This window comes from Homo sapiens, chromosome 11 (assembly GCF_000001405.40).
Source record: "Homo sapiens chromosome 11, GRCh38.p14 Primary Assembly".
In the NCBI taxonomy this organism is placed as follows: Eukaryota; Metazoa; Chordata; class Mammalia; order Primates; family Hominidae; genus Homo; species Homo sapiens.
The window spans coordinates 78,871,327-78,890,562 of record NC_000011.10 but is presented as its reverse complement, the minus strand read 5'-3'; the positions used below and the strand labels follow the sequence as shown (position 1 = coordinate 78,890,562).

The 19,236-nt window shown below is 46.0% G+C and overlaps 1 protein-coding gene across 9 annotated transcripts in view, besides 1 other annotated feature; it reads left to right on the top strand.

Moving 5' to 3' along the window:
• Positions 1-19,236, top strand: part of TENM4 (teneurin transmembrane protein 4) — a 788,202-nt gene that overhangs the window by 550,468 nt on the left and 218,498 nt on the right. For all 9 annotated transcript variants that reach the window (XM_047426739.1, XM_047426737.1, XM_047426736.1 and 6 more), the window contains one exon: positions 543-778. In XM_047426739.1, the coding sequence (XP_047282695.1) occupies positions 543-778 (236 nt within the window). The remainder of the gene's footprint in view (positions 1-542; positions 779-19,236) is intronic.
• Positions 731-1,345: an enhancer, noted in NCBI's record as "H3K27ac-H3K4me1 hESC enhancer chr11:78600263-78600877 (GRCh37/hg19 assembly coordinates)". NCBI's record gives its function as "activates a minimal SCP1, AML or CMV promoter by ChIP-STARR-seq in naive H9 embryonic stem cells {active_cell/tissue: H9 hESC(naive)}" and the evidence as "EXISTENCE:reporter gene assay evidence [ECO:0000049][PMID:30033119]".

Genomic DNA, 19,236 nt, shown 5'->3' with positions numbered 1-19,236 from the left:
TTAGTGGTGGTTTCTTGGCTTCAACACCAATAAAACCCCCTTTAAAAAGAAGGGTATTCCAATCCTCAGTTGAGATACACCGGCAACAGAAGCATTGGAGGGAGAAGAACAATTTTAAGTCTCATTATCTCCAGGGTACACAACAGGATTTTAGATCCTTTCCAAGTTACTGTAATAATTTTAGAGAATAGGAAGTTTATTCCCCAAGAAACAGTATCCCAGCCCCATCCGTTCCCAGGAAAAGGATCTCAGTGCCAGCCTTCTGTTGAGTTGGTTAACACCTTCTGCCTTGCCGTGGGTGGGTTTTCCCATGGGTAGGGCTGTCCCATCCGTGTTCAGTGGAAACGTGTCTCTGTGTGCCCTGTTCCATGGTCTAGTCCGTAGCTCTCCTTGTTCCTGTCCTTTCCCAGGTCTCTGTGGTGACTCTCTCTATCCAGGCTCCTCTGCATGCTTCTTCTACTGCCGCCTCTGGCCTCCAGGTTTGTCTGGGTGCCTGGTCTGTGGGCAGCCCCTGACACCCTCTTGCTGCTCTCCATCTGCAGGCACTTCCTCTTCAAGCCTGGAGGCACCTCCCCGCTCTTCTGCACCACATCACCAGGGTACCCACTGACGTCCAGCACAGTGTACTCTCCTCCGCCCCGACCCCTGCCCCGCAGCACCTTCGCCCGGCCGGCCTTTAACCTCAAGAAGCCCTCCAAGTACTGTAACTGGAAGTGCGCAGCCCTGAGCGCCATCGTCATCTCAGCCACTCTGGTCATCCTGCTGGCATACTTTGTGGGTAAGCACCTCTTCACCCCAGCTCCCCTTGCTCCTCTTTGGCCCAGAGGGCAGCAACCAAGACACGTGTGGGCACTGAAGGCTCCTTACTAGCATGGCAGGCAAAGCACGCAGTGTGAGCCAGGCAGCCCTGGAGTTCTGGACAGTCTGCACCCCTGACACTGCAAGGGCAGCTCTTCAGGGCCCTCCTCTCTTTCCTCTCCATCCCTCTGCACTTATATCAGGAAGGAAGCTGGGCATCTGTCCTTTTGTGTGTTGGGTGCCTGGTATTAAGGCGTGAGTGCTCAGTAAGACTAGCCTTTGAGATGGGGATCTATGGCATAAGTGTCATGGATTGAGTCAATACAACTAAATGACAAGTTGGAGAGGCTGAACAGCAGGTAGCCTCTCCTGTTGGGACTGTGTGGCTGCAGTGAGGAGCAGGAAGGAGGTGGAGCACCCTGGGCTTGGAGGGAAACTGGCAGGAAAGCACGTCTGAAGGTAGATGTCTGGCAAGGCAGTCTGAGGGTATTGTGGGAACCAAGGTCCAGAGTTAAACCATGGTCAGGAACCCAGGGAAATTCTGACTGAGAAGCAGAAGGTCCCAGCCAGCACAGAGAGCAGAGAACGCTGGCTGAGGGCGCACAGACACGGAGCAGTGCTCACCTGACCCTGGGTGCAAACACAGATATAAGGAGCTCCTCCCGACCTCTGCCTTGATACAGCAGATGGCTCCCCCTGTGCAGTCTTCTGATGAATTTGTAACACAGTCTGACCCCTTCCTACTTCTGACCCCTTGCTTTGGTCTTTTCCCAGGAAAGATATTAATCCAAAGAGATCTGTGGGTGTTGTGTAGCATCTGCTGCCTCTATATAAATCAGCCTCTTAGTAAAGGCATTGGAAGGGAGATTGGCTTAACCCTAGAGGTCCTTTCCTGTAATTCAAAGGCTTAAGGTAGGTTGGGCCAGCTTGAGAAGGCCTCGAACCCATGCTAAGGAATTCTAAGATAATTCTGCAAGCAAAGGGGACTTTTTCAGCACAAGCCCAGTAAACAGAAATAGAACTAACTGGCAGAGGCCAAAAAAGACAGTGCTGCCCACTGTGAAAAAGAACTTGGTAACCAGCAAAGTCACTGTGGCTGAACAGGGGCTGTCTTGAGAAGTAGTAAGAGGTGTCACTAAGAATGATTAATACAACATGGGCCATCACATGTTCAAGAGATAGAGAAGTGGTTCAAGCATGGATGGGGTTTGAGTGGCATAAGCTGTAAGGTCAATTCCACTCAAGATTCTTGAATTTTATAAAAATAAGTGACCAGGAAGATGACAGTCCTGCAAAGAGGGAGGTCCCCTTCAATATCTCAAGCTGTAATAAGCCTCCTCTGGCATGTCAGGTCTCTTTTCCCCTTCTGAATATTGGCTTAGACAATTCCATGGCTCCAAGGCCAAGGTGGCATGCATGTCATCTCTTCTTCTGTCTGATTGTTTAGTTGCTGCTGCCTAGAATGCTGTGTTGAGGAAGATACTGGGGCTATATTTAGGCTCAATGTAAGAGACTATCTGTGATTGATTAGTGATGTCTGTTATGGTCACAGAAATGGAGAATATTGATGACATGTCAAGTATTTGCCATCCCTGCTATGGGTCATTGTATAAATGAAACAGCCAGACTGGGAGAGGTCAAGGCCTACCCAGGCTCTGTGAGGTGCATCGTTGATATAGAGTGGGTTACCAATGAGGGTTGTATAGTTCCAGTACCATTACTTGGCATGAAGGTTTCTTCTGGCACCACGAATAGTATGTCACCACCAACCACTGGCACAGCTCTTGGTTTTGACTAACATTATTATTTTTCATAAGTGAGTAGACTTCTGGACAGGCAGTCATAAGTCATAATTTGAGTAGTTTGCTGCTATACACATCCATTTGTTTTGCGTTGAAGTCTTAAGGTTTATATCATATAGCCTAATTCAGTGAGAAAGAGTAAGTGTTTACATGATTAATCAAACTCTCTCCTGTTTTCCATCTCATGGCTTCTTTCTCTCCCAGTTAATAAGAATACATGATTAGTCTTCAGCTATTTAAAGATAGGGGCAACTGTGGGAATTAGTGAGCTCTCTGTCTGAGGAAGGATACAGATAGAGCTCAGGGACCACTTAGAATAAGATTCAAGCACTGCCTGGGAGTTTTCACTGGGTAACCTTTAATTTTCCTTCCAACGTTGACAGTCTTCAAATCCACAATTTTGTGAATTTTATTTTTCACTCAGCAAACCATATGGAATACCTGCTTTGAGCCAGGCTCTATGCTAAGTGCCAGGGTTAAATATATAGTCACTACCCTTGAGGTATTCGTAGCTTAAAAGAAGAGATAGCTATGTTAGCAGGCAAATCTGAAACAGTGACTGATTTACACAGAGCTCAGAGGCTGTGGGAATACCCAACCCCAGCCAAGAGGAGTAGGGAAGGCTTCCTGGGAAAGGTGATGTTTGAGCTGAATTTTAAAGTAGGCATTAGCCAGAAGTAGACATACAGAAAGGGTATTTCAAAGCAAGGGAGCTTACAAAGACTTGAAAGAGGATGATGTGGTAGCAAAGATGTTTTCTGTGTTTGAAGCATTTGAGGAGTGTGGGGTGCACCGTTGGAGCTAATACAGAAGTGTTTCATCAGATTGTGGAGATCAGCTTGGAGGACAAGTTGAGGACCTAATTGGGTGGGCAACTGGGGTACCACTGAACAGTTTTAAGCAGTGATAGGACACAGATTTTTATTTTAGAAAGGTAAGGGTAGAGGAAGGAGGAGTAGAAGCTTACCTGTTGGGAAACTATTGCAGTCAACTAGTCAGGAAAAGCTGATCGCTTCAATTACAACACTGACAACGTAGGTGGAGAAGAGGAGGTGGATGGAAGGTCAATTTTGAAGAATTTGTGTCTTGAGCCAGGAATGGTCAGTTCACTGATAGTGTGTCCTTGCCAAGAATAACACAGATATTTCTACACAGATAATATTGTGTCTGTGTCGAAATACTTGGACTGGATGCTAGGGCTCATATACAAGGATCAAGCCAGAGAGGCAAGCCTGGGCATTCCCTTTGTTTCCTGGAGAGTCAGCAAGGTGTTGGGGAAGAGCTTACACCTACCATGACAGCCCTGGATTCCAGGCCCTGCTCTACCACACAGCAGCTGCTCACCCTTGGGAAAGTCATTTCTCTTTCTGAGTTCTGATTTGCTCATCTAGAAAATAGGCACAACCCATACCTCAGAAGGATGCTTGTGAGCTTGGTATAAGCCAACGCAGGTGAACGCGTTGCAGGTGTGCAGGCCATCCCACCCTTGCTTCACAAGCTAGGGGGTAGCAGCCTTATTGCTTGCTCTCCTGCAGCTGCTGAGGACAAGGCATAAGCATCTTGTTGCTTGGCCATAATTACAGGCTGTGACGACTAACTTGGAAGGAACTATCAATTATTAAAAATCAAATTAATTGTCTCAGCTGAGCACAAATATCCCTAACAAAGACCCTTTTCCAGCAGACCAACCGATCTAATCAACAGGCAAAAGCACAGATATTTAATTAGATTTTTGATGAAAAATTGTGTTTAATTTCAAGTATAATCAATTATTAATTACTGTAATGAGTGAGTCTGACTGGGTTTACTAATTAACTCATTTAAGAATTATGAATAACCTTTTCATTTGTAATTATTTTCTACATCCTATCAGGTTCCAGATAAGAATTGCATCAGCTCACCACCAGAGTGGGAGGCAGAAACAGAGGGTGGAAAATAGTTTTTCTTTTGCTGTTATCTGCCTAGGGCTGTCACGTCTGGTTGGTAATCCTGACAGATTCATTTGACATTTAGTTTGTTTGTTTGTTTGTTTGTGTAGAGATGGGGGTCTCACTCTGTCACCCAAGCTGGAGTGCACCGGCACAGTCATAGCTCACTGCAGCCTTGAATTCCTGGGCTCCAGTGATCCTTCCACCTCAGCCTCCCGAGCAGCCGGGACTACAGTTGTGCCCCACTGCACCTGGCTACTTTTTAAATTTGTGTGTGTGTGTAGAGATGAGGTCTAATATGTTGCCCAAGCTGCCATAAACTCCTGGCCTCAAATGATCTTCCTGCCTCAGCTTCCCAACAGGCTGGGATTACAGGTATGCGGCACCACGCCCAGCTGATGTTCCATTTCTTAGTTAGAAAGTGTCTTGAGAAACTTGTGCCACCAGGGACATTTCAATTACAGATACATTTACAGGTATTTTCATGAGAAAGTAGAGACACTGGAGTCAGCACTTACCACCAACAGAGACTGCGGAAGCCAGAGGCTTGCCCATGGGCCATCTCCTCCTCTCCTGGGAGTGCTACTTGGCTGCTCTGGCCTGAGCTGGGAATCCAGGGAGGACCCTCACACAGCTGTGGGATCTCTTCAGAGAGAAAATATGTATTTTTGTCTCCAAAGGCACCAATTCAGAAGGACAGCCACTGAGGATGAGTTTACAGTGCTTTATTCACCAGTTCTTCCTAGTACAGTTCTCAGGTCCTTGTTAGTCTCCATTTGAATACCCGGTCTTTTCTTTTCTGGAGAAATCTGTTGGCAGAACACAATGGGGGCTGTTGTGCAGGTTACATGAGATGATGTCGAAAGGGGCAATGCTAGTTTTAGGTCAGACCCTGAAGCTTGTACTGCCAGTTGTTAAGCAATTAAATGCTTTATTGTATAGCATTTAATTGTTTTTAAAACATGTTTAGCAAAAAAGGTGTGATATAGAGTAGTAAAAATCACATTTGGCTGCTGTTTATCATTCATAAAGAGCAGTTAGTTTTGATTGTATGCTGTCCACGTGCCCTTCTGTTCTGAGCACGTTGCTTGTGTTTCCTCACTGAAATCTCCTAACAATCATGAGTTATTATTCGCAATTGACAGATGAGGACACTGAGCCCCCATGAGCTTAAGTAGCTTGCCCACTGTTGCATGGTAAATGTTAGGGCTATGATCCTCCCAACCACAGGCACTCAAGCTCTTGAGCTGATGCTTTCGAATTATTTTCTCTTTTGAGCTCACACTTTTAACCTGTATGCTGTAATTCTCCCATCTTAATATTTGGCTTTTTGAATTTTTGCTATGTGCCTAGTACTGGGCCAGGCCCATTACGTGTATCATTTCTCTGGACCCTCACCACAATTCTGTGGGATGAGTATGATTTTCTGTATTTTCTAGAAAAGGAAACTAAAGCTCAGAGAAGTTTGCAACTTGCCTGGGTCACATAGCCAGTATATGACATAGCTGGGATGCAACCAAGACTTGGGATTTCAAAGGCCATGCTTTCAGCCAACTATGCTATATAATAGCCCTGGGCTGGAACAGACAATGTAGAATCAAAAGATCTCACCTCAGACCCTGGCTGTATCACTTGCTGACGGTGTAAACTTGGGCAGTTTGCTTAACCTCTCTGAACCTTGGTTTTCACTTTCCTTATGGAAGTGGCTGGAAAGACTGTCCCATTTTATAGGAGAGGGAACCAGGAGCCGCATGATGGTTGAGAGCATAGGTTCTGAAATTAGGCTGCCTGCTTTTAAATCTCAGCACTGCTGCTTCCAAGCTTTGTGACATTTGGCGAGTTTACACAACCTCTCTCTGCCTCAGTTGCCCTATCTGTAAAGTGAGGATTATAATAGTGGTTACTTCACAGGGTTGGGGTGAAATTTCTGTAAGATAATTTACAAGAAGTACCTAGCTCACTCCCTGACACAGAGCACTCAGTAAAAGTTAGACACTACTGTTGTTAAAAGTATTATTAGAATTATTAGCATCTCATGTAACAGAGTATTAGTTACTCCTGAGTGAGAACTTGGACCTGGCTTGTCTCACTGCAGCACCAACAGGCTTCCTGGCCCGTGTTAGTCACAAGGGCAGCTGACAGAACAACCAGGGGGACCTGTCAGAAAACATTTGTAGGGATGTCTCACTGTTCCAGCAATGCAGCCACAAGAAGAATCGTCAGCTGCAAAGCAGCTCACATCATTTCTCTAACTAGGACAAAACTTGATTTGTGATTCACTAACTGTTGCTTCTGTGCAGATAAAACTGACAGCTTCCCTTGTGTTCTGAATGTGTATGTAAAACGCAGACACTGCGTGCTGCAGAAGAGCCTCAGATTAGTAACTTGAGGTTTCTTCAAGCACCTGTCTTGCCAGGTAGGCCTTTGGAATAGGAGACGAAAAAGGCTTGTTAATAAATCTAAAATGAGGAGCGGCTTTACATTTAAATGAAGACCTGAGAGGACACTGGTTGCTGATTGCTGTATCATCAGGTCCAGGTCTGCCCTGCAGGGCAGTGGCGCCATTTTCTGTGATTTCTCTAATGCAGCGTGGGGTTCTCATCAGGAAGGAAGATGGGATTTGGAGCCTGACCACCTCCGCAGAAATCTCAGCACTGCCACTCTCCAGCTGTTTAGCCATTTGATCCTTGGTTTCCTCATCTGCAAAGTGGGAGGAATAATAGTATTACTTTCATAAGGCTGTTGTGCAGGTTAAATGAGATGATGTTGAAAAACGCAAAGTGGGAGGAATAATAGTATTACTTTCATAAGGCTGTTGTGCAGGTTAAATGAGATGATGTTGAAAAACACAGAGCATGTGATAAAGGAGATGTCCCTTACTGGTCGCCTTGGGAGATGGTTGTTACCCGTCCTTGGACCTCACCCACAGTGTGGCAGGAGTGGATTGTCCTGTAAGGTCCTTCCTAGTCTGTATTTCTATATCTCTAGGAAATTGCACCAGGATATAAAGGGTGGAGTCTCAGATGTGGGCTTCTGCATCTTCTGGGTAACCACAGTGGAACATTCCAATTTGTGTAATAGCAATGAGGGATCCTTTCTTAAATTAGGTTGCATCTGCATTTTTCAACTGCACAAGAAGGACTGATTGTGGAGTACAAAAAAAAAATCAGAACCCTTGCTTGAAGTGGTGATAGTTTAATTTATAACTGAGAATGTTGCTAAGCTTAATGCTTAATTGCTGCTCTTCAAAAGGCAGCTATTAGAGAGCTTTGCTTGTTGGAATAATATTGCAGTTCTTGGTCTGGAAGACCCTGGGTCATGCAGTTCTTGAGGCTATCTAGGAAATGGTGATAGAGGTGAACTTGAGCATTAAGTGCAAGTTGCGTAGAGTGGTATAGACTGTCAATATCTCTGACATTTCATCATACAAACTGGACTTCAGTATGGTAGCAATTCAGTTAGAAGACATATTAGACTTCCCTTCTTTTTAATGGAGTTTCACTCCCCCATCTCCTCTTGTCTTACTCTCTGCTTTCACATACTCAATCCCTAGCACAAAGCCTGGCACAAGGTACCTGTGCTAAATTAAGACTTGGTTGAATAAGAGGCCTTGCAAAATGGTTAAGTCTGCCAAGGGTACTCTAGGCAGAAGAGCAGCATGGGCAAAAGCATGGTGGCCGAACTGTGTATTTTATGTTCTGGGGCTAAGATACAGGTGAAATGGACATGAGATGTGTAGAGAAAGAATTACAGATAGAGGCCAGGGTGAATTTATCCACCCCCCAACACCCATTCATTTCCATCTGGCTCAGCTCATACAATATCAGGATCTCAGATGCTGTTGCCTCATTAGCATGAGCCTATTACACTTGGGCCTAGGTGTTATTTGTGTGCAGTAAGGCTCATTTTCCCTCCTTTCTCTTTGACTTCACATCAGGCCTTTTGGACAGGAGCCATAGATTTAACTTTATAGCCCAAAGAATGGGAAATGGAGATGATTGAACTTGGTCTTTTAGAAGGAGGAAAAAGTGATAAAGATACAGGATCCTGCATTAACGCCTTCTCTCTCCAAGATCGATTCCTTCATGCTGCTCTGTGGGAATTGCTAATAGCAAGATATATATAGGTTGTTCTCATTATAACAGGCCACAGACAGATATCTTCCAGATCCCTAAAAGGAAGACTTAGGAGACCAGCATGGCTCTCTGCAGTTGTCTGAAATGCTGACGAAGGGAGAAGGGACCAACTCGCTCTGCAGGGCTGAAGAGGGAAGAAAATGAACGTTTTCCAGTTTGCAGAGCCTCCCCATGATAGAAGAGTTTGACAGTGCCCTTCCTGGCAATGGAAGTATTCAGGCAGCGGGTTATGGGGTTTGTCATTTGATCATTCATTTGCTTTTAATTTGAGGAGAGTTTAAGAAGCTGGGTACAAAAGTGAGGGCAGTGTGTCAAGGAATGGTACTACCCCCTGGCTAATGGTTCTAGGATACCATGAAGGGGCATGAAGGGGCAAGGGGGAAGGAGGGGTTACTAGAACCTGGAGAAGTTAGCCAGCTGAGAGTGCTGCTTGACATGGATGTATGGTCTTCAATAGAGGCATGGCGGTGAGGGAGCCGGAGAACGGAAATCTCCACCTCACTCTCTTCCCACCCTGACAACCTCCTCCTGGTGGTGGAACCCAACCAGAAGTCACAGCTCAAGGGAACCATTGATCCAGGCCATGTGGACCAGCCTCCCAGGGCACAGAGCAGGGTGAAAAAGGATAGAGAGTGAGTGTGGAAGGCAGCGGGATGACATCTGTCTTCCCCTGTGTCATAATTCCTTTCCCTAGCCATGCACAGGGCTCTGACTGTGCTCTTAGGGACCTAACTAGGATTGAAACCCCAGCCACTGCTCAGACATTGTCCCTTACCTTTGCACCCACTCAGCCACCAGGCCCAGGCCACTTCCTTCATATCAGATTTATTGAGATATAATGTACATACAGAAAATTAACACATTTTAAGTGTACTACTGTATGAATTTTGACAAACTGGTAGAGTTACGTGACCACCACCACAGTCAAAACACATAACCATTCCATCACCCCCAAAAGTTCCCTCATGCCCCTTTGAAGTCAACCCCCCTCTCATTCTCAGCCTCTGGCAATCACTCATCTATCTATTCTCTGTCTCTGTAGTTTCAGGCACTGTTTTTGAGAAATATAGTAAAGAAGTGATTTATTTACTGGCTTTAAAATCAGATATTACCTAAAATAATCTCCAAACTCAGATATTTCAGTGTTGTTGAGAAATTTTTTAAGGTATCATCCAGAATTCAAGATACTGGGGCAAACAACAGAAACATTCTGCGGTTTTCTGTGTGTTATCCTTGACCTCCATATCATGGCTCATAGTTTCTGAGTTTGGGAATGTGTCAAAAAGAAAGGACCCACATTTACTCATATATTCATTTTTAATAACAACAGCAGCCACAGCCTCAGCATAGTCAGTGTGGATAAACAGCTTTATGTCCTTCTGCCTTTTTCACAGGCCATTTTTTCTTTCTTTTTTTTTTTTTTTTTTTTTTTTTTTTTTTTAGTATTTATTGATCATTCTTGGGTGTTTCTCAGAGAGGGGGATGTGGCAGGGTCATAGGATAATAGTGGAGAGAAGGTCAGCAGATAAACATGTGAACAAAGGTCTCTGATTTTCCTAGGCAGAGGTCCCTGCGGCCTTCCGCAGTGTTTGTGTCCCTGGGTACTTGAGATTAGGAAGTGGTGATGACTCTTAAGGAGCATGCTGCCTTCAAGCATCTGTTTAACAAAGCAAATCTTGCACCGCCCTTAATCCATTTAACCCTGAGTTGACACAGCACATGTTTCAGAGAGCACGGGGTTGGGGGTAAGGTTATAGATTAACAGCATCCCAAGGTAGAAGAATTTTTCTTAGTACAGAACAAAATGGAGTCTCCTATGCCAACTTCTTTCTACACAGACACAGTAACAATCTGATCTCTCTTTCTTTTCCCTGCATTTCCCCCTTTGCTTTTCGACAAAACCGCCATCGTCATCATGGCCCATTCTCGATGGTCGCTGTCTCTTTGGAGCTGTTGGGTACACCTCCCAGATGGGGCAGCTGGGCAGAGGTGCTCCTCACTTCCCAGACGGGGCAGCCAGGCAGAGGTGCTCCTCAGTTCCCAGACGGGGCAGCCAGGCAGAGGTGCTCCTCACCTCCCAGATGGGGTGGTGTCCGGGCAGAGGCGCTCCTCACATCCCAGACAGGGCGGCCGGGTGGAGGCGCTCCCCACTTCGCAGACAGGGTGGCGGCCGTGCAGAGGCGCTCCTCAGTTCCCAGATGGGGCTGCCAGGTAGAGGCGCTCCTCACCTCCCAGACGGTGTGGCGGCCGGGCAGAGGCACTCCCCACCTCCCAGACGGGGCGGCCGGGCAGAGGCACTCCCCACATCCCAGACAGGGCGGCCGTGTGGAGGTGCTCCCCACTTCGCAGACAGGGTGGCGGCCGTGCAGAGGCGCTCCTCAGTTCCCAGACGGGGCTGCCAGGTAGAGGCGCTCCTCACCTCCCAGACGGTGTGGCGGCCGGGCAGAGGCACTCCCCACCTCCCAGACGGGGCGGCCGGGCAGAGGCACTCCCCACCTCCCAGACAGGGCGGCTGCCAGGCAGAGGCGCTCCTCACCTCTCAGACGGGGCGGCCGGGCAGAGGCGCTCCTCACATCCCAGATCGGGTGGCGGCTGGGCAAAGGCGCTCCTCACATCCCAGACAGGGCGGCTGCCAGGCAGAGGCGCTCCTCACCTCCCAGACGGGGCGACCGGGCAGAGGCGCTTCTCACTTCCTAGACGGGGTGGCGGCTGGGCAGAGGCGCTCCTCACATCCCAGACGGGGTGGCCGGGCAGAGGTGCTCCTCACTTCCCAGATGGGGTGGCCAGGCAGAGGCACACCTCACTTCCCATTTGGGGCAGCCGGGCAGAGGCACTCCTCACTTCCTAGATGGGGCAGCCAGGCAGAGACGCTCCTCACATCCCAGATGGGATGGTGCACAGGACATTTTTTCATGCAAACATTTTCAAGTACTGACACAATTCTCATTCTTGCCAAGTGTAAAAGCCATTATATTTGTGCTATTACTGTATCATTGTATTCCAGCTGTTTCCAGTTCTTTGGCATTATAAGTAGCACTTCTGTAAACATCTTTGTGCCTCTGCTCTGTTTTCTTATTTCATATCTGGATTATTTTAGAAAGGGTGTATTCCCCAGAGCAGGATTCCTGGGTCACAAGGCGTGAACAGCTCTGTTACTCACTGCTAGATCCTCTTCAGAAGGGTAGGACTGAACTTCAGGGCTCCCATCCAGGTATCCAATTTCCCCACAGTCCTGCCAGAAGAAAACTTTCTCTCTGATCTTGGGTCTGCCAGTTTAATTGGTGGGAGGTGGGCGCAGGGTCACAAGTGGCTCTGAGACCAAAAAAGGCTGAAGGATTCCTGAAGAGAGCTGCCCATCACCTCCTACCCCACTTCTACCAATCAGTTCTTTCTCAAGAGCTTAGCTCAAGTGTCGCTACTTCAGGGAAGCATCTGTGAGCCTCTCCTGCTGAGCCAGGAACCCAGTTCTATGCCTTTATGGTGCTTGTGGTGCTCCTCACAATTGCTGCTAAATGACTGTGACGTGGATCGTTTAATATCTGTCCCCAGCATTAGATTATGAGCTCCATGAGGGCCGAAAAAATTTCCGTCATACTTAGTATCATAGCCACAGCTTCTTGTGCCGGGTCTGGCGTGATGTTGCATGTGTCCAGCAAAAGTTTGTTCAAGGAAAGAAAGGAGGGCAGGATGACAAGATCAGAACCCAACAGATGTTGCAAGGCATGGAGAGGGGAGAAAGAAAAAGGAAAGAATAGAGGTTCCAAGTTCTCACAGAGATCAAAGGTGGAAAGTGTATATCAGTGAGTGAAAAATGGCTGCTCGAAACTATGTGGAGGGAAAACCAGAGGAGACAAAGCCAGAGGCGGCTGCTGAAACATAGCCGGCACGGGGCACAGGCTGGCTTTGCCCTAACTGCTCATCTGCTCCTAACTACTTATGACTCAAGCAAGAAGTGTACTCTTCCCAGACCTCAGTTTCCTGACCCATGAATGTAGATAAGAGGCTGCTGTGGAGATGAAATGATTCTCAGGCACCTAGTTCTTAATAGTAAGAGCCACTCATAAATGAAATCTGCCTGCCCCTTCCCCCTGGCAAACAAGATGTGTTGAATTTGAGGGCCAAGCAGTTTCTGAGTTTGGAAATGTGTCAAAAAGAAGGGACCCACATTTACTCATATATTCATTTTTAATAATAACAGCAGCAGCTGCAGAAACAACACACTCTCCTAGGGGTTGGAGGCCCTGGGGGCAATTTAAAGCCCCCAGGGGAGGCAGCACAGCCATGGTTGGTCAGGAAGGACCCCCAACTGCATCTCTGGGTGCTCCTTTTACAACATTGCCCAGGGAGTATGGAAAAGGAGTTGATTTTATAGATTTTTAGCCTTCTTGGAAAGGAATTTTCCCCGTCTCGTTTGTATTCCAGACTAATTACTGTGAAATAACATAATTTAATTGCACTTAAGTGCAGAGAGAAAGAGAAAACAGCCCCCCTGATGGCTATTCTTGCACTGAGTAAATACCTAACTGGAGGAGAAGTTAGGAAGGGGCCAAACTTAAGTCTGCTAGGCTTAGGGGACAAGGCGGGAGCAGAGCTCAGCCTCTTTTCATGGCAGGGAGGAAGAGCAGGGTGGAAGGAAGAAGGGAGCAGTGAGAGGAAGAGAGAGGGCTGAAAAAACCACAGTATTTCTCCTTCCACTCAGTGCTTCTTCCTATCAGTAAAACAACAAAACCAGAACTAAACAGCTTCATCCTTCTAAAGACAGCAATATGATCTCAGAGCAAAAGCACAGACTGGGCCGAGTAAGACCTGCATTCCAAACCCAGCTCAGACACGTTTTCAAACCTCTCTGTATGTTGGTTTCCTCATTGGTAAAATGTCAATTAGTATCTAAGTGGTGTTTTGAGCATTAAGCAAGAGAACATCTGCAAAGGGCCCAGTCCAGTGGATGACCCATAGTAGGTGTGGAGTAAACGCAGCTTTCCAGCAGCTGAATCACCAGGAGATTTTAAACCCTTTCAGGTTTAGCAGCCAAGAGCCATCCCTGGATGCAGGGATTTCAGGTGATTAAGCAGAAGGAGCTTCCCCAAATTCAGGTTTAAACTGGTGGGGAGCATTCACTGAGCCTGTCTTTTGGACTGTGTCCCAGGCTGTGAGGAGCAGACAAAGCCAGATAAGCTAGCGTCACTGCCTCTGAGCCATCCATACTTTCTTGGACAGCCAGATGTGTAAGGAGCTGATGGCAATTCTATGCAGATGATAAAGGTATATTACTGGAGTTTGAACCTATCCCTGTGGGATTCCAAAGGAGACAGCAATTCATTCTAACTGGGAGGATCAGGAAAAAATTACAAGGCATTGAGCTTGTAAATCAAGTAAGATATTGAAAGAGAAGATCGGAATGGCTTTCTGGAAGACCGAACAGCCTAAGCAAAGGTAGAGGATAGTAGACAGGAATGTTGGATATTTCTGCATCTGTATCAGAAGAGTCCACATTAAAGTGTCCATTTGTGCATTTTACCTATCTATGGGCCTCAATCTGTACTTTCATTCTGTTTTACTGAAGACTTTCAGTATAAAACTACAGAAATCACAAGTGCTGGTAGACACTGGCTGCCTTTCCCCTTAGAAGAGAGGCTCCACTAGGCAAATACAGAATAAATACCATGCCTTTATGTAAGGCCTTTTAATTTTTCTCTCCAGCAGTCAATGCACTCTCTATAATTATTAACTGCATTTCCTTGCCCTGCAAGCCCCAGATGTGGAAACTGAGGCCTGCTGCAGTCAAATAACTTGTTCGGCTGGAATGGCTGGTAAGTAGTAGCGCTGGACCTAGAAATCCAGTTTTCCAACTATAAACCCTATGCAGACCGTGCTGCCTCTAAAAGCCCTCCTCTCATGTCCCTGTCCCCATACCTGAGGCTCAGAACAAACAAGGGCCACATTGCCCTTCTGTCTGCAGCTTGCCTTTGCCCCTGCTCCCAGCCACTCCCAGCAAAGCCTAAGCTGATGTAACAGCACACACAAATATGGCAGCACACACAAATCTAGAGTTTGCCTTGTGCCAGGCAGGTGCTATTCTGAGTGTTACATGTATTTCCTCATTTAATATTCTTCAACAGTCTTACTTATCCAGTAAGTATTTGTTAAGTGCAAACAGGGGCACCATGCTGTTTTTATTTCCATTTCCATAGATGAGAAACTGAGGCCACGAAGGTTAAATGATATGTCCAAAGCCAGATCTCTAGTGAGAGAAAGAGACAGGACTCACACCCAGAGCCCATCCTCTCCTCATTGGCCTCTACCCTTCCCATATGCTGGGGGGCATTTAGGGAAGGTTTTCACCCTTCTGAACTACTGAGAGGATGCAAGTAGCTCCTTGCTAATGAAAGAAACTAGGCTGGGCACAGTGGCTTACACCTGTAATCCTAGCGTTTTGGGAGGCCAAGGCGGGCAGATCACTCAAGGCCAGGAGTTTGAGAATAGCCTGGCCAACATGTTGGAACCCTGTCTCTACTAAAAATACAAAAATCAGCTGGGCATGGTGGTGCACGCATGTAATCTCAACTACTCGAGAGGCTGAAGCAAGAGAATCACTGGAGCCTAGGAGGCAGAGATTGCAGTGAGCCTGGGCAACAGAGTGAGACTCTGTCTCAAAAGAAAAAAAAATGAAAGAAACTAACTTATCTTCTTATGAAGGAAAAATGAACATCCATCCGTCTGTCCTGCCCCGTGTACTGTGCCAGCACTGCCATGCACATGTGCACTGACTGGGGCGGCGGTTTGCACCCAAAGTGCTTCAGGACTGGAGCCAACAGGAGGCCAGGTTATGAATGTCAGGAGACCTCAAAACCTATTGCTTATTGAGCAACAGCACCTTGTAGTATCTGATTCTGCTGTTCTCCAGGCTTCCTCCAGCATGAGTAGATTGTCACTGGCGTAACATGTCACTTTGGAGAAAGCCCTTCCTGCTGGCATGTGGCAGGCAGCTAGATTGATCATGCCCTTGAGCCTAGAGTTAGATTTTGTTCACAGCCTCCAGTGGGAAAGAAAAAATGCCAGTATCATTAATTGTAGTGTGGCCTCCATTTCATCACATTGTCTCAAATTTTACCACTCAGATCATCTGTAGAATGGAGTATATTCCTCAGACCCCTGTGTGTGTCTCAGCCTGTGTGTGGCACTGTGTATATAAGCACACACTTGATTCCAACTCTCTTTGCAAAAAGGGTATTTGAGAGGAGATGGAGTAGGAGGGTAACAAAGCTTTAAATGAAAATTTTAGGATAATTAGCACTTTTCTTTACCTAGAAGCTGAAAATTCTTCTTTTCTACCTTGTTTATGTCTTCTGACTTTTCTGTAGTGCAGTAAGTCTATTAAATAGCACTATGCATACACCTAATTGTTGAGGTCTGAAACTGTGTGGGTGGTTTCACATATAAATCTTTGTAACAGTCTGTGTATTAAACACAGACTGTATTACATTAGGACATTTGGGTGTTCTTTCATTCATTAACTATTAAGCAATATTATAATAATGCCTTATATTTTCAATATACTTTATAATCTCTAAATTCTAAATTCTAAAGAATCCTCATTAAATTTAATTCTTACAAGAGCCTGGGAGATGGTTTTCTATTATTTCCATTTCCACAGATGAAAAAACTAAGAGTCAGGTTGGTTAAGTGACTTCCCTGTTGATGCACAGCTGGTAAGGGCCAGAGCTGGGAGCCTTACTGTCTCTCTACAGATCTGTTCCACTGGGTACTAAGCCTGGTAGAGAAATCAGCAAGGGACAGGAAGCACAGGTATGCATACCATGAGGGCAGTGTTTATGGGAGAGGGGCAGAAATAATGATAAGGGCCCAGGGCTGAGGGCAGTGGCTACTTTTGGCTGGGAGTGATGGTGGAAATCCTCACAGAAGAGGCAATATTTGAAGTATGTCTTGAAGGATGGGGGAATTTTTTCTTAATAGAGAAGGTGGTGACCGTTCAAGCAGAGGGCATCGTATCAGCAAAGGCATGGAGGCTAGATGGCCAGGCAGGCTCAAGAGACAGAGAAATCCACACAAAGTGAGACTCCTGAGCAGGCAGAAGTAGCGTAGACCATTGAATATTGTGTTCAACACACATTTAAAATGCTCTTTTAACATCCTTTCTGTTCTGAAGAGATACCATGTCAAGTGTCTATTTTCAGAAAAATATTGCCAACGAAATTTGAGTAAAAAGGCAGGTCCATATAACAATGAGATTGGCAATGTTGGTTTCTTTGTTTTTTGTTTTCCATTTTTGACATTTTCACAGCTTGATACCTAATCAGAAAAGCAGTGTGGTATAGTGGTTAGGGGCAGGTTCCATCTGGACTTAACTCAGATCTGAATTTGGTCTCTACCTCTAATTAGAAGGTAACGTGGGACAAGTTGATAGACCTCTTTAAGCCTCAGTTTCCTCATCTTACAAATGAGAGTAATAACAATACTTACCCCATTGGGCTTTGTGAGGATTAAATGATACTGTTTCTAAAACACTCAGCACAGTGCTTGGTACAGTATAGCTTCCAAGTAATGACTATGGCTGTTAACATTATCATCATCATGGTCCCTGGAATTCCTTACTGCCTTAAACTTCCTAGTTTTAGTTAAAGACTAAACCAAACCAAGGGTCTGTGTGTAATCAAACAAGAAGCAGAGGTAACTCACATATGAGTGCCTTGCTCCGTGCACAGATAAAGGCAGGGGGGCAGGAAAATATGATATGGTCCCCAAGGGCTGGAAAATACCCATGGGACTGGAGACTGGGAAGCTGTAGGGTGTAAAGGAGGGACATCAAACACTCTGTTCTGTGTGATTTTAAAGTGCTATTTTGAAATGTTTCTCATTATAAAGAAATATTATCCCAAGTTACAAATCTGGGTGGCAGGCTCCACGTTAAGCTGTCTGCCCTCATTCCTCTTGCTGAAGTGAATGATCCAAAGGGAAAAGGCCTCTCCTAATAATACATACACAAATTAAAACTCCATTTGAGGTACAGTGGGGACCACCTCCTAATTGACTTTGATCATGAAAAAAATCAGTTGCATGGCTGGCACACCAAAGAAAATCAGAAGACTGGAGGGTTGCTCTATACAGCCAAGTAGCAGTACATTTTCTTGTAGCTATGGAAATGGAGCATAGCAACAAGCACCTTCTCCTTGTGTGAGCTCCCAAGCACCAACTAAACACACATTTCTCTTTCCTGCCTCATTTGATCGTTAACACAGGTGAGGGAGGGGATGATGCATCTCAGGTGAGAGGCTGGTCCTTTGCAAGTTGGAACACCTTTATATAGACACTTCAGATAGCACTGGGAATGGTGTCATCATGGACTCAAGGGCCACAAAGAAAGGAATGTGATGATGGCACACTTGGGAAATAACAGGCACCATCCCAGACCTGGCAGTGGCGTGTTGTACCACCCAAAGGGCAATGCTGACTCCTCACACCAGCAGAGCAGTTTGAACAGGCAGGAGATCCTTTGGGTTCAGTGATCACTGCATCACTAGTGAGGCCTGACTATGAAGGGCAGATGGTAGGCATTGTACTAGGTTTAAGCACCCCTTCTGTGTGGAGCCGCTTCCTAGAATGCTTGCCCTGTTGATAGTGATTTGACAAAAGCTGCATTTTTGTCCTGATCAGGATGAAATGGAAGCCTGTCCTGTGCTTCCTTGATGACAGTGTGACAAGAACTTCATATCTGGCATCACTGGAATCTGCTTTTGGATCTTGGCACTGCTATGTTGAACGGTACAATTGTAGACAATTCTGGATCCTCGGTTTTCTAGAGATAGAAAATTAAAGTAGTAATATGTACTACTTATCTCTGTTTTGAGGCACCTAATCTATAAAATGGAGTTACTAATACTATCTAACTTAAAGAGTTGTGAGTTTGAATGACATAATAAATGTGAATCCTCCAGTATTATATCATGCACAAGGTAAAATTTTAATAAGTAGGAGCTGTTGTTTCTTTAATAATAATCCTCACTCTGTCTCCTTCCTTTCCTTGCTTTCTTCTTCACCCCTTTGGACCAGGTTCTGGGGGGGCAGAGATGACTGGAATAATCCCTGCCCTAAAGGGAGGGCTGCTTGATGGCCTGACATGGCCCGTGCTGTGGGTTCATTCCCCTTACCTTAGACCCAAGGAGATGGTTCCCTTCACCTGGGAAGCAGCGCCTGATGGAAGAACAAGCAATGAGGATGGCTGTCCTGCTCTGGACATGATTTTCTATTGTGATTAATGTAATAACAGGGTCACTTCGTGGGAAGAGCTTTGAACTAGAAGTCTGAAGAACTGGGCTTAGCTCAGTCCCAGGCCCTGACACAAAGGCGCTAATCAAGCCTGAGTTTCTTCATCTGTGCGGTGAGTGGGTTGGTAGGTACCTGGGAGCTGAGATGTCAGTCATAGCAATGTCCCCTAATACAAAACTCAGGCTTCTCACTCCCCAGGTCCTGATATGTCCTCACTTCATTTTTCAGTGAAAACCTTGATACACAATGAAGATGATGCCAACAAAGAGAGCTCCCATCTGGTAGTTC